The sequence below is a fragment of the Homo sapiens genome, chromosome 14 (genome assembly GCF_000001405.40).
Source record: "Homo sapiens chromosome 14, GRCh38.p14 Primary Assembly".
NCBI lineage: Eukaryota > Metazoa > Chordata > Mammalia > Primates > Hominidae > Homo > Homo sapiens.
The window spans coordinates 49,806,020-49,820,669 of NC_000014.9; the positions used below are offsets into that span (position 1 = coordinate 49,806,020).

Genomic DNA, 14,650 nt, shown 5'->3' on the forward strand with positions numbered 1-14,650 from the left:
CCTGATGATGGTACACCCACCAAGCACTAGTGATAACTCGTGCATCCCAAGCAGCACTGTAGCAAAGTGCCATTGTGCCAGCTTCAGTCAAGGTCCGTGGGGGGATGGGTTCTCCTAGAATAACAATGCATAATGTTTCAATACCAAAGTATGGACTTTCTCCAGAGCAAGATATGAAAATCACATGCCGCATGACAGGGTCAATGATATGTGTATATATATATATATATATATATATTTTTTTTTTTTTTTTTTTTTTTGAGATGGAGTTTCGCTCTGTTGTTCTGGCTGGAGTGCAATGGCGCAATCTCAGCTCACTGCAACCTCCGCCTCCCGGGTTCAAGCAATTCTCTGCCTCAGCCTCCCGAGTAGCTGCAATTACCAGCGCCCGCCACCATGCCCGGCTAAATTTTTGTATCTTTAGTAGAGATGGGGTTTCACCATCTTGGTCAGGCTGGTCTTGAACTCCTGACCTCATGATCCACCCACCTCGGCCTCCCAGAGTGCTGGAACTACAGGCATGAGCCACCGAACCCGGCCGGTCAATCACATATCTTAAATACTAATACATTTTTACTTCACCATTATAAAAAGTTACTATTTTAATTAAAAATGTATTTTTAATACTCCTATTTACAGAGCAAGCTTTTAAATGACCTACGTAAATAAAACATGTCAGAGAAGAAATATCCTCTCACATCAATAATTCTAACTTCACTCCAGAAAAGATAATTTAGAGAAATCCATTTAAAGTTTGAAGACTTCCAAAATTAAAATAGATTGGCTGAATCATGAACATGAAGAGCATATATGAATAACATGTCCCTTATGGTTAGATTTCAAATATTTTTAAATTGGGGTATAATTCACATGCCATAAAATTCACCCCTTTAAAGTATACAATTCAGTGGCTTTTTGTATATTCATAATGCTGTGTGACCATGACCATCAATACTATTTAATTCCAGAATATTTTCATCATCCCAGAAAAGAAACCCTATATTCATTAGCAGCCACTCCCCATTTTCTCCTCTGTACCCAGCCCCTGGCAATTACTAATCTATTTTCTGTCTCTATGGTTTTGCCTATTTTGGACATTTCATACAAATGTAATCATACACAGCATTTTAGGTTTGGCTTCTTTCACTTAGCTTAATGTTTTTCAAGATTCATCCATGTTAAAAGCACATATAAGTACTTCTGTTCTTTGCAAGTCTGAATAATATTCCATTATATGGATATATCACATTTTGTTTATTCATTAATTGAATGACATATGGATTGTTTCCATTTCTTGGCTATTATAAATAATGCTGCTATCAATATCTGCAAACAAGTTTTGTGTAGACACATACCTTTGCTCATCTTGGGTATATACCTAAGAGAGGAATTGCTGGGTCAATTATGTTTAACATTTTTTGGAACTGCCAAACCACTTCCCACAGCAGCTGTATCATTGTCCATTCCTACCAGCAGTATTCTATGTTCTCCACCATCATCACCAACACGTGTTATTGTTTTCTCCAGCATCATCACCAGCACATGTTAGTGGGTATAAAGTGGTATCTTGTGATTTTTTTTTTTTTTTTTTTTTGAGACGGAGTCTCTCTCTTTTCACCCCGGCTGGAGTGCAGTGGCGTGATCTCGGCTCACTGCAACCTCCACCACCTGGGAAGTGATTCTCCTGCCTCAGCCTCCTGAGTAGCTGGGATTACAGGCATGCACCACTACGCCCGGCTAATTTTTATATATATATATTTTTTTACTAGGGATGGGGTTTCACTATACTGGCCAGGCTGGTCTCAAACTCCTGACCTCAAGTGATTTACCTGCCTCTGCCTCCCAAAGTGCTGGGATTACATGCATGAGCCACAGCGCCTGACTGGTATCTTGTGATTTTGATTTAAATTTTCCTAATAACTGATGATACTGAGAATCGTTTCATGTGATTGTTGGCCATTCACGTATCTTTGCAGAAATATCCATTCAAATCTCTTGCTCATTTTTCAGCTGGGTTACTTCCCTTTCTATTGTTGAAACTTAGGAATTCTTTGGACACTAGACTCATCAGATATATGATTTGCAAATATTTTCTCTTATTCTGTGGGTTGTCTTTTTACTTTCTTGATAATGTTCCTTGGATTAAGGTTTTATTTATTTATTTTATTTTTTGAGACAGAATTTCGCTCATTGCCCAGGCTGGAGTGCAATGATGCCATCTCAGCTCACTGCAACCTTCGCCTCCAGGGTCCAAGCGATTCTCCTGACTCAGCCTCCCAAGTAGCTTGGATTACAGGCACCCGCCATCATACCAGGCTAATTTTTCATATTTTTTAGTTGATACAGGGTTTCACCATGTTGGCCAGGCTGGTCTCGAACTCTTGACCTCAGGTGATCCACCTGCCTCGGCCTCCCAAAGTGTTGGGATTACAGGCATGAGCCACCGTGCCGGGCTGAATTAAGGTTTTTAATTTTATGTCTAACTTACCTGTTTTTTGTTTGATTACTTATGATTTTGGTATCATATCTAAGAAATTACTGCATGATACAAGATCATAAAAATTTATGCCTTGTTTTCTTCTAGCAGCTTTATACTTCTGGCTTTTAAGTTTAGGTCTTGGATGCATTTTAAGTTAATTTTTATAAATGGTGTGATTAAGAGGTCTAACCTCAATCTTTTGCATGTGGATATCTAGTAGTGCCATACTACCGTTAAAAAGTTAAGCCACTGACTGGCAGAAAATACTTGCAAAAGACATAGCAGATAAAAGATTGTTATCTAAAATATAAAAAAACTCTTAGAACTCAACAGTAAAAACACAAACAGCCCAATTAACAAATGGGCCAAAGACTTTTAACAGATACTGCATCGAAGATATACATATGAATATCTAATAAGCATATGAAAAGATGCTCTGCATCATATGTCACCAAGGAAATGCAAATTACAACAACATTGAAATACACTATGCATCAATGATAATGGCCAAAATCCAAAACACTGACAACACTAAATTCTGGTGGCAGTGGAACAACAGGAACTCCCATTGCTGGTGGTGATGTAAAAGGGTACAGCCACTTTAGAATAGACAGTCTGGTGGTTTCTTACAAAACTAAAAATACTCTTACCATGTGATTCAACAATATTGATGTTTGGTATTTACCAAAATGAACTGAAAACTTATATCTGTACAAAAACCTGCACAGATGTTTATAGTAGCTTTATTCATATTGCCAAAACATGGGGGCAACCAAATTCAGTAGATTAATGGATAAACTGTGGTTCATCCAGACAACTGAATATTATTCAGGGATAAAAAGAAATGAGCTATCAAGCCATGAAGAGACATGGAGGAAAGGTAAAAGCATACTACTAAGTGAAGAAGCCAGCCTTTAAAGATCAGTGGTTGTCGGGGGTTGGGGGAAGGGAGGGATGAACAGGCAGGGCACAGAGGACTTTTTTAGCACAACCAAACTAAATCTGTATGATAATACAATGGCAGATACATGTTTTACACATTTGTCCAAACTCAAAGACTATATACATCAAGAGTGAACCCTGGCTGGGCTTGGTGACTCATGCCTGTAATCCCAGCACTTTGGGAGGCTGAGGTGGGCAGAACACTTGTCAGGAGTTCGAGACCAGCCTGGCCAACATAGTAAAACCCTGTTTCTTCTAAAAATACAAAAACTAGCTGGGTGTGGTGGCACGTGCCTGTTAATTCCAGCTACTCTGGAGGCTGAGGCAGGAGAATCGCTTGAACCTGGGAGGCAGACGTTGCAGTAAGCTGAGATTACGCAACTGCACTCCAGGCTGGGCAACAGAGCGAGACTCTGTCTCAAAAAAAGAGAGTGAACTCTAATGCAAACTATGGACTCTGGGCCATAATGATGTGTCAATGTAGGTTCATTAGTTGTAACAAATGTACCGTTCTGGTGGGGGATATCGATAATAGGGGAGGCTACGCATGCATGCAGCAGGGGGTATGAGGGAAATCACTATACATTCTGCTCAATTTTGTTGTGAACCTAAAACTGGTCGAAAAAAATGTCTATTTAAAAAAAGAGGCCGGGTGCGGTGGCTCGTGCCTGTAATCCCAGCACTTTGGGAGGCTGAGGCGGGCGGATCACAAGGTCAAGAGATCAAGACCATCCTGGCTAACACGGTGAAAACTCGTCTCTACTAAAAATACAAAAAATTAGCCGGGCGTGGTGGAGGGCGCCTGTAGTCCCAGCTACTCGGGAGGCTGAGGCAGGAGAATGGTGTGAACCCAGGAGGCAGAGCTTGCATGAGCCGAGATCACACCACTGCACTCCAGCCTGGGTGACAGTGCAAGACTCCATCTCAAAAAACCAAAAACAAAAAATTAAAAAAAGAAAAAAAGAAAGAGGAAATTCTATCCCCATTGGTCTTGGCACCCCTGCTGAAAATTAACTGACCATAAACTACAGGTTTATTTCTGGAATCTCGATTCTATCCCTTGATCTATTTGTCCATCCTCATGCCAGTACCAGTGTCCTGATTACTGTTACTCTGTAGAAAGCTTTAAAATCAGGAAACATGAGTCCTTCAAAATTTGCTCTTCATTTTCAATACTGCTTTCGCTAATCTGAGTCTCCTTGCATTACCACATGAATTTTAGAATCAGCTTCTCCATCTCTGAAAAAATAAAATAAAATAAAATGCAGGGCCAGGGGCAGTGGCTCATGCCTGTAATCCCAGTACTTTAGGAGGTCAAAGTGGATGGACTGCTCGAGCTCAGGAGCTCGACACTAGTCTGGACAACATGGCAAAACCTCATCTCTACAAAAAACACAAAAATAAGTTGGGCACAGTGGCAAATGTCTATGGTCCCAACTACTCAGGAGGTTGAGATGGGAGGATCGCTTCAGCCTGAAAGTTCAAGGCTGCAGTGAGCCAATCGCACCACTTTATTACAGCCTGGGTGACAGGAGACCCTGTTTCAAAACAAAACAAAAAAAGCAGCTGCAATTTTGAGAGGGATTACAGTGAATTCCTAGATTACTGGGGAGTACTGCTATCAGAACAATATTAAGACTTCCAATACATATACATGGGATGTCCAATTTAGGTCTTTAATTCCTTAAAATAATTTTATAGTTTGTTATCTATAAGCGTTGTAAGTCTTTTGGTAAATTGATTCCTAAGTATTTTATTCTTTTTAATGCTAATTATAAATTGAATTGTTTTATTAATTTCCTTTTCAGATTGTTCACTGGTAGTGTACAGAAATACAACTGATTTTTGTTTACTGATCTCATATCCTGGACATTGCTGAACTTGTTTATTAGCTCTGATAATTACTGGTAGATTCTTTAGGTTTTTTAAATGTGTGTGACCATATCAACTGTAAACATAGGTAGCTTTACTTTTGCCTAATTTGGATTTTTTTTTCTTTTTATTGCCTAATGACCTATATAGAACCACCAGTATAATGTTAAATAGAAATGGCAAGAACAGACATATTTGTCTTATTACTGATGGGAGGAGGAAGGTACCCAATCTTTCAGCATTAAGTATGATTGTTAGCTGTCGGTTTTTCATAAATGCTTGTTTACCAAGTTGAGGAATATCCCTTCTATTCCTAGTTTGCTGAGTGTTTTTATCACAAACAAATGTTGAATTTTGTCAAATGGTTTTTCTTCATAAGTTGAGATAATCCATGTGTGTTTTTTGTCCTTTATTAGTAGATTATATTACATTAATTTCCATATACTGAACCAAGCTTTCATTCCTGAGATAAATTACGCTTTGTCATCGTATATAGTCATTTTAATATGCTGCTAGATTCAGTTTGCTAATATTTTGTCAAAGATTTTTGTCTATATTTATAACCGGTATTGGTCTGTAGTTTTCTTGTGTTATCTTTGGTTTTGTAATACTGGCCTTGTAGAATGGGTTAGGAAGTGTTCCCACTGATCCTATTTTTTGGAAGAGTTTGTGAAGAACTGGCATTCAACCTTCTTTATAATTCACCAGTGAAGCCATCTGGCCTAGGGTTTTCTTTGATGAGTATTTTTTTAATGTTTTTCTTTATTATTAATCCAATCTCTGTACTTACAGGTTTATTTCAATTCTCTATTTCTTCTTGAGTCAGTTTTAGTATTTATATCTTTCTAGGAATTTGTCCATTTCATCTAGGTTACATAATCTGTTGGTATATAATTGTTCATGGTATTCCCTTATAATCCTTTCAATATCTGTAAAGTCGGAAGTAATGTTCCCTATTTCATTCCTGATTTTAGGGATTTGAGTCCTCTATTTTCTTGGTCAGTCTAGCCAAGGGTTTATCAATTTTGTTTATCTTTTCAAAGAACCAACTTGGGTTTTGTTCATTTTCTCTATTTTTTTCCTATTCTCTGTTTTGTTCATTTCTACTCTAATATTTACTATTTTCTTCCTTCTCCTTGCTTTGGGTTGTTTTTCTAGTTCTTAAGGTGCAAAGTTAGGTTACTGATTTGAGATCTTTCTTCTTTTTAAATATAGGCATTTATAGCTATAAATTACCCCCTAAGGGCTGCTCTTCTTGCATCTCATAAGTTTTGACACACTGTATTTTCATTTCGTTCATCTCAAAGTGTTTTGTGGCATCTTTTGTGATTTCCTCTTTGTTCCATTGCTTATTTATAACTGTGGTATTTAATTTCCACATACTTACGAATTTAAAACATTTTCTCTACTCCTGGTTTCTAATTTCACCCCATTATAGTCAGAAAACTTACTTTGTCTAATTTCAACAGTTTTAAATGTATTGAGGCTTTTTTTTTTTGAGATGGAGTCTCGCCCTGTCGCCCAGGCTGGAGTGCAATGGCACCGTCTCAGCTCCTGGGTTCAAGCGATTCTCCTGCCTCAGCCTCCCGAGTAGCTGGGACTACAGGCGTGTGCCACCACACCCAGCTAATTTTTTGTATTTTTAGTAGAGACAGGGTTTCACCATGTTAGCCAGGTTGGTCTCAACCTCCTGACCTCACAATCTGCTTGCCTCAGCCTCCCAAAGTGCTGGGATTACAGGTGTGAGTCACCGCATCCAGCCGAGGCTTGTTTTATAGACTATCCTATGGTCTACCCCAGAGAATATTTCATGTGCACTTAAGAATACAGGGTGAGCACCCCAAACCTGAAAATCCAAAATGCTCCAAAATCTAAAACTTTCTGAGTGCAGCATGATGACTCAAAGAAAATGCCCACTGGAGTTTGCTAGAAACGTTTTGCAGCATTTTGAATCTGTGATTTTTGGATTTGGGATGCTCAACTGGTAAGTATAATGCAAATACTTCAAAATATAAAAACACTCTGGTCCCAAGCATTTCAGATAGGATACTCAACCTGTATGGTGCTGCTATTAAGTAGAGTATTCTAGAGATGTCTGTTAGATTTAGTTTACAGTGTTGTTCAAGTCTTCCATTTCCTTGCTGATTCTGTGTCCAGTTATTCTATCTATGACTGAAAGTTGGGTATTAAAGTCCTCAACTATTATTGTAGAACTATCTCTCTCTCCCTTCAATTCTGTCAGGTTTGCTTTATGCATTCTAGGGCTCTGTTATTAGCAGCACATATGTTTATAATTGTTACATCTTCTTGATAAGACTGATCCTTTTATCATTACATCTTTTTTTATTAGGTGTGTGTGTGTGTGTGTGTGTGTGTGTGTGTGTGTCACCCAAGCTGATCCTCCCACCTCAGCTTTCTGTAGCTGGGACTACAGGTGCATGCCACTGCACCCAGCTTTTTAAAAAAATTTTTCTAGAGATGAGGTTTCACTTTCTTGCCCAGTCTGGTCTCAAACTCCTGGCCTCAAATAATCCTCACACTTCAGCTTCCCAAAGTGCTGGGATTACAGGCATGAGCCACCACATCTGGCCCTCTATTAAATTTTTGTCTTACAGTCACACTAAAAATATTTTAAAGAAAGGAACAGGAATTCTGAATAGAAAGAAATATATTACCTGTTGGATTCTTAATTACACAGCTAGTAGCTCCATGAAGATCAGCATGTACATAAATGTCTCCTTAAATACAGACAAATAAAAAATGACACTTTAAGTCCTAATTATTCTTTTTTCCTTTTTTTTTTTTCAGATGGAGTCTCGCTCTGTCGCCCAGGCTGGAGTGCAGTGGCACGATTTCAGCTCACTGCAACTTCTGCCCCCAAGGTTCAGGCAATTCTCCCACCTCAGCCTCCCAAGTAGCTGGGATTACAGGCGTGCACCACCACGTCCAGCTAATTTTTTTGGTATTTTTAGTGGAGACAGGGTTTCACCATGTTGGCCAGGCTGTTCTTGAACTCCTGACCTCAGGTGATCCACCTGCCTCAGCCTCCCAAAGTGGCTGAGATTACAGGCGTGAGCCACCACGCCCGGCCAAGTCCTACTTCTAGGTGTGAAAAATGATTGCAAACTTTAACACCACTACAGTAAGCTTTTAAAAATTTGACCTACAATAACTTTGAAGACTGAAAGTTATTCTGTTAATGTAATGTACTGAAAGTCCAACACTGCAGATTAGCTCAGCAATACCATTTTAGGAATATTCACTTAAGAACTAAAAGCATCAAAACACATATGCAACAAACCATGAAGCATCATGCATCAAATCTTTCTACTAGTTAAATCTATCAAACAGAAGAGTATAACAAGAAAATCAATGCCTAATATTGAGATAACTGATCCAAACATTCAAGAGAAAATTTTTCCGAATTTTAATCTTACCTACCTGGTGTCAAGTATCTTTTCACAATTATTTCATTCTGTTGCTGATCTCGTCCACCTATAATTAGATAGTTCTCTGAGCTAATGAACCACAGAAATTTCTCAAACCTATCAAAATGAAAGAAAAAAAGTTAACTTTTCTTTATAGCTGCCTGAATTCATACCCTTTTTGCAAACAAAACAAAACAGGAAGCTATTTAAGACAAGTTGATGGTTTAATTTTTTTAAGGCATCAAGCTTAATTTTACTAAAAACCTATAATACAAATTGCCCTAGGATATTCTTTAGACAGTCTTAGAAAAAAGAAATTAAATTCTATGTTTAAAAAAGTTATCTCCTTACTCCATATAGCCTTCTTAAACTCAACTTCTAACAATAAATTTCATAAAGCAAAAGTATAAAATGTCATATGGTCCTTAGGTTTAGCTTTCTTTTAGTGAGGCACTGAATAGGCTTTAGACCACTAATAAGAAAGAAATGTTGTTTTCCCACTCTGCTCTCAATAAATGAACGTAATTAATCTTTAATATGATATTCTTTACATTTTTTTAAATACAAAAGACCAAAAATTGTCCTTAGGAGGATAAAATTACAACTTTTCTCAAAAGACAAAATAACTTGGGTTTTCATGATTAATACCTGCAAGATAAAAAGTACAGAGTATATTATCTGTATGACATTTAGAAAATGACATGCAAGACAGATGAACATAAATACTTGCTACATTATATATGACTACAGAGATTATCTTCTGTATGATTTAATCCACACTTTTTAAAACTTTTGGTTAAAAATGGTAGACTAAGCACAGATACTTAACTTAAACTCCCTAATATAATAGTGAAAGGACTTTACTATTTTCTAATCTGATTTTTTGATTGGGTAACACATACTCATGGTTGAATAAATTTTTTTACTTATATAAAAAAGGTCAGCTGGACACGGTGCCTCACGCCTGTAATCCCAGCACTTCGAGAGGCCAAGGTGGGCGGATCACGAGCTCAGGAGATCGAGACCATCCCGGTTAACATGGTGAAAACCCGTCTCTACTGAAAATATGAAAAATTAGCCGGGTGTGGTGACAGGCGCCTGTAGTCTCACCTACTCGGGAGGCTAAGGCAAAAGAATGGGGTGAACCTGGGAGGCGGAGCTTGCAGTGAGCTGAGATGGCACCCCTGCACTCCAGCCTAGGCAACAGAACGAGACTCTGTCTCAAAAAATAAATAAATAAAAAACAAAAAATATAAAAAAGATAGTGAGAGATCCTGCATCCCTTCAGTTCCTGTCACTACACCAAAGAGGGAGCCATTGTGACTGGCTTCCTGAGTATCCGTCTCAAGATTCTTTATACATAGAAAAGCTAAAATATTTATCCCAATCTTCTCTTTTTTGTTGCGGGAAGTCAGGGACCCTGAACAGAGGGACCAGCTGGAGCTGTGGCAGAGGAATATAAATTGTGAAGATTTCATGGACATTTACCAGTTCCCAAACAATACTTTCACAATTTCTTACGCCTGTCTTACTTTAATCTCTTAATCCTGTCAATCTTTTGTCCTTTGCCTTGTGATCTTTGCTTTTGCCCTTTGCCTTGTGATCTTTGTTGGACCCTTATCAGGAGTTTCTGATTTTGCCCTTGTCCTGTTTCCTCAGAAGCATGTGATCTTTGTTCTCCTTTTTGCCCTTTGAAGCATGTGATCTTTGTGACCTACTCCCTGTTCTTGCACCTCCCTCCCCTTTTGAAATCCTTAATAAAGCTTGCTGGCTTTAAGGCTCAGGTGGGCATCATGGTCCTACGGATACGTGATGTCACCCCCAGCAGCCCAGCTGTAAAATTCCTCTTTGTACTCTTTCTCTTTATTTCTCAGCTGGCTGACACTTAAGGAAAATAGAAAGAACCTATGTTGAAATACTGGAGGTGGGTTTCCCTGATACATTTTTAGACATAGCACAAACTGTTCTGAATATTGCTTTTTTCACCTAAAAGTACATTTTCTTCATTGCTGAATGGATGCACTACACTTACTTAACCATTCCCCTACTGATAGTAAAGAGGTTTGTAAAAAGACAAAGACATAGGGACAAAAAGAATGGGAGAGAAAAATCAAAGATGTATTTTGTAATCATCCTAGTAAGGGAATGTATAGCCAACAAGTCAATAAAAAGTAGTCAATCAAAAGAAGGCAATAATGAAGACAAAAGAGGACACAGAACAAATGGGACAAGCAAAAAGCAAACAGTAAGATGGGTGGATTTAAACCCAAATATATCAGAGATTACATTAAATATAAATGCATTAAATGCCCAGGTAAAAGGCAAAGACTGTCAGACTGGAAAACAATGACAATGATATATATGATGCTCCTTTAAAATATAAGGATGGAAAGGTTGAAATATAATGATGAAAAAAGACAGGCCAGGCGCGGTGGCTTATGCCTGTAATCCCAGCACTTTGGGAGGCCAACGCAGGCATATCACTTGAGGTCCAGAGTTTGAGACCAGCCTGGCCAACATGATGAAACCTCATCTCTAATAAAAATAGAAAAATTAGCCAGGCATGGTGGTGGGCGCCTGTAATCCCAGCTACTCAGAGGGCTGAGGCAGAATTGCTTGAACCCAGGAGGCAGAAGTTGCAATGAGCCAAGATTGCACCACTGCACTTCAGCCTGGGTGACAGAGCAAGACTATGTCTCAAAAAACAAAAAACAAACAAATAAAAAAGATATACCATGTAAACACTAACCAAAAGAAAGCTCATCTAGTTACACCTGACAAACAAGGAAAAAATAGTTACAAGTTAGAAGGACATTTCATTAAAGTTGATAAAAGACTCAATTAATTAGGAAGACGTAACAGTTATATAGTTTTATCACCTAATTACATTGTCTCATATATAAAAAGCAAAAACTGGCAGAAGTAAAAGGAGAAATGGACAAATTCGCAGAATATTATAAACTTTCTGCCAATATATTTTAAACTTTAGACAAAGTCTTTAAAAAAACACTGCTTACCAAAACTAGGAAATTTGAACAGTCCTTACATTTACTAAATAATTTGAATCTGCAATGACAAGCTTTCCCAAAGAAAACTCCAGGACTACTCAGCTTCACAGGTGAATTTCATCAGCTATTTAAGAACAACTGAAAAAGGAACACTTTCCAACTTGTTTTATGAGGCAATATGACCTTGATACCAATACCCAACAAGAACATTACAAGAAATGAAAACTACAGGATAATCCTAGTCATCAACAGAGATGTCAAACAAAACAGAGAGGGAGAAGAGACAAATACAACCAAATTTTGAAAGCTGGAAAACAAATGGACAAGTGATGAGACTTTTTTTTTTTTTTTTTTTCCGAGACAGAGTCTCGCACTGTCACCCAGACTGGAGTGCAGTGGCCCGATCTCGGCTCACTGCAAGCTCCGCCTTCTGGGTTCACGCCATTCTCCTGCCTCAGCCTCCCGAGTAGCTGGGACTACAACAGGCGCCCGCCACCACGCCCGGCTAATTTTTTTTGTATTTTTAGTAGAGACGGGGTTTCACCGTGTTAGCCAGGATGGTCTCGATCTCTTGACCTCGTGATCCGCCCTCCTCGGCCTCCCAAAGTGCTGGGATTACAGGCGTGAGCCACTGCGCCCGGCTGTGATCAGACTTAAGAAGCTGAATCCTAAGCTGATGGTGAAAAAAGCAACAACTAAATTTGCAATGTAAAACTCATAAAAGGATAAACAAATGGCAGCACAAACACTTAAGGAAATAAGAGTTTAAGATGGGAATGAAAACAGGAGGACTGGCTGAGAGTCTGTTCAAGAAGCAGTTAGTTCCATATATGTTCTTTCCAGCTAATTCCTGTTCCATTTCCTAACAGAAGGCCAGAGGTTAATTTCTCTAGAAAGGGTATAAAGAAGATCTCTGGACAAGGGTAAATGTGGCACAGCTATATAATCAGGAGTAATATATGTAAAATACAGCAAATAAGTAAATGAATTATGGATCCTAAGACTCTCAGCCTATTATTTCCACTGGGCTCCCCAAATGCTGCAGCAGCCAGGTCTTCACCTTACAAGCAGGAGAAAAAAAGAATCTTTTCTGGGAAATGAGACTAGCTCAAGGGGAAAAGGGCTAAAGACAATGAGGATTCTACACAAAATGGCCAACACAGATCATTTCACAAGCCCAACCACCCAGGGAACTTCCAAACAGCATTTAAATACCCTACCATAAAATGTAAAACGTTGAACAGACAATCAAGGAGCACCAGACACTAATATGAAAGATGGAGACAAAAGCAACATTTTTAAAAAAGTGCCTGTAGTCCCAGCTACTCAGCAGCCTGTGCCACAGAGCGAAACTCTGTCTCCAAAAGAAAAAAAGAAAAGGAGGGTGCGGTAGGGCTGATGTAGGTATGTCAAAAACTAACAAGTTACAGTAACATGAGTAACTCTAGACATCCAATATATGGCATGAGGAATACAGTTAACAATACTGTATTACATATTGGAAATTTGCTGAGAGTATATTTTTAAGTGCTCTTACCAGACACACAAAAAACAGAGTAACTACGTGAGATGATGCATATGTTAATGTGCTTGACTGTTTCATTTCATTATGCATATGTATATAATAAAAACATATTATAGACCATATATATATATATATATATATATATATGTTTATTTTTTTGAGATGGAGTCTCGCTCTGTTGCCCAGGCTGGAGTGCAGTGGCACAGTCTTGGCTCACTGCAACGTCTGCCTCCCAGGCTCAAGTGATCCTCCCACCTCAGCCTTTCAAGTAGCTGGGACTACAGGTGTGCACAACCACACCTAGCTAATTTTTGTATTTTTGTAGAGACGGGGTTTCGCCATGTTGCCCAGGCTGGTCTCGAACTCCTCACCTCAGGTTATCTGCCCGCCTATGGTCTCCCAAAGTGCTGGGATTACAGGCGTGAGCCACCGCACCTAGCCTATCCCTGTCTTTATAGAAACATTGTGAAAAGGAGAGAGTTCTGAATGTTGATGTCCCTGAGGTAGAGCAATTGCATGTACCCAAAATCTGTGTGTTTTCATTTGTGAGCATCTAGTCCAGTGCCCTCCCTTCACTTGCTCTGAGGGTGTAGGATGTTGTGATACCCATTAGCTAATTACCTTTGGGAAATGATTTCAGAGGATTAGAATGCCACTTCAGCCACCCATTTTTTTTTTTTGTTTTTGTTTTTTTCTGAGACAGAGTCTCACTCTGTTGCCCAGACTGGAGTGCAGAGGCGCCATCTTGGCTCACTGCAACCTCCGCCTCCCAGGTTCAAGCGATTCTTCTGCCTCAGCCACCCGAGTAGCTTGGTCTACAGGCACAAGCCACCACACCTGGCTAATTTTTGTATTTTTAGTAGAAACGGGGGTTCACCTTATTGGCCAGGCTGGTCTCAAACTCCTGATCTTGTCATCTGCCCGCCTCGGCCTCCCAAAGTGCTGGGATAACAGGCATGAGCCACTGTGGCTGGCCCCCATTTCCTTTTGACAGCAGGCAAGTGTCTGTGTGTTTGTTGAAATGACACATTTGATCCTTTTTATGGCTCAAAGAAAAGTTAATGAATACCTTTTGAGTTTGGTGCCATGACAGAGTCATTCCTCAAACCTGTCAGCACTTACGCGTTGTCCTCTGGTCACTGCATGACTTCGCTGAAGTTCCTTACCCTCTCCGTTTCAGATTCTGAAAGTATTGTATCAAGAGCTAATAATCGGCTGGGCGCGGTGGCTCATGCCTATAATCCCGGCACTTTGGAAGGCCGAGGAGGGTGGATCACTTGAGGTCAGGAGTTCGAGACTAGCCTGGCCAATATGGTGAAATCCATCTCTACAAAAAGTACAAAATCCCCTCTCCCCTCTCTCCTCCCCCTTCCACGGTCTCCCTCTCATGCCGAGC

At 39.4% G+C, this 14,650-nt stretch overlaps 1 protein-coding gene across 8 annotated transcripts in view; it reads right to left on the reverse strand.

Annotated features, from left to right (window-relative positions):
• Positions 1-14,650, reverse strand: part of NEMF (nuclear export mediator factor) — a 70,706-nt gene that overhangs the window by 23,937 nt on the left and 32,119 nt on the right. For 5 of the 8 annotated variants that reach the window (XR_943557.4, NM_004713.6, XM_047431912.1 and 2 more), the window contains 3 exons: positions 8,735-8,838; positions 7,969-8,031; positions 2-114 (listed from right to left, as the gene is read on the reverse strand). Coding sequence is in view for 7 of the 8 variants with exons in the window: in NM_004713.6 (NP_004704.3) it covers positions 2-114; positions 7,969-8,031; positions 8,735-8,838 (280 nt within the window). In the remaining variant the exon portion in view is untranslated. The other 3 variants (XM_011537317.4, NM_001301732.3, XM_011537318.4) reach the window with 3 other exon arrangements.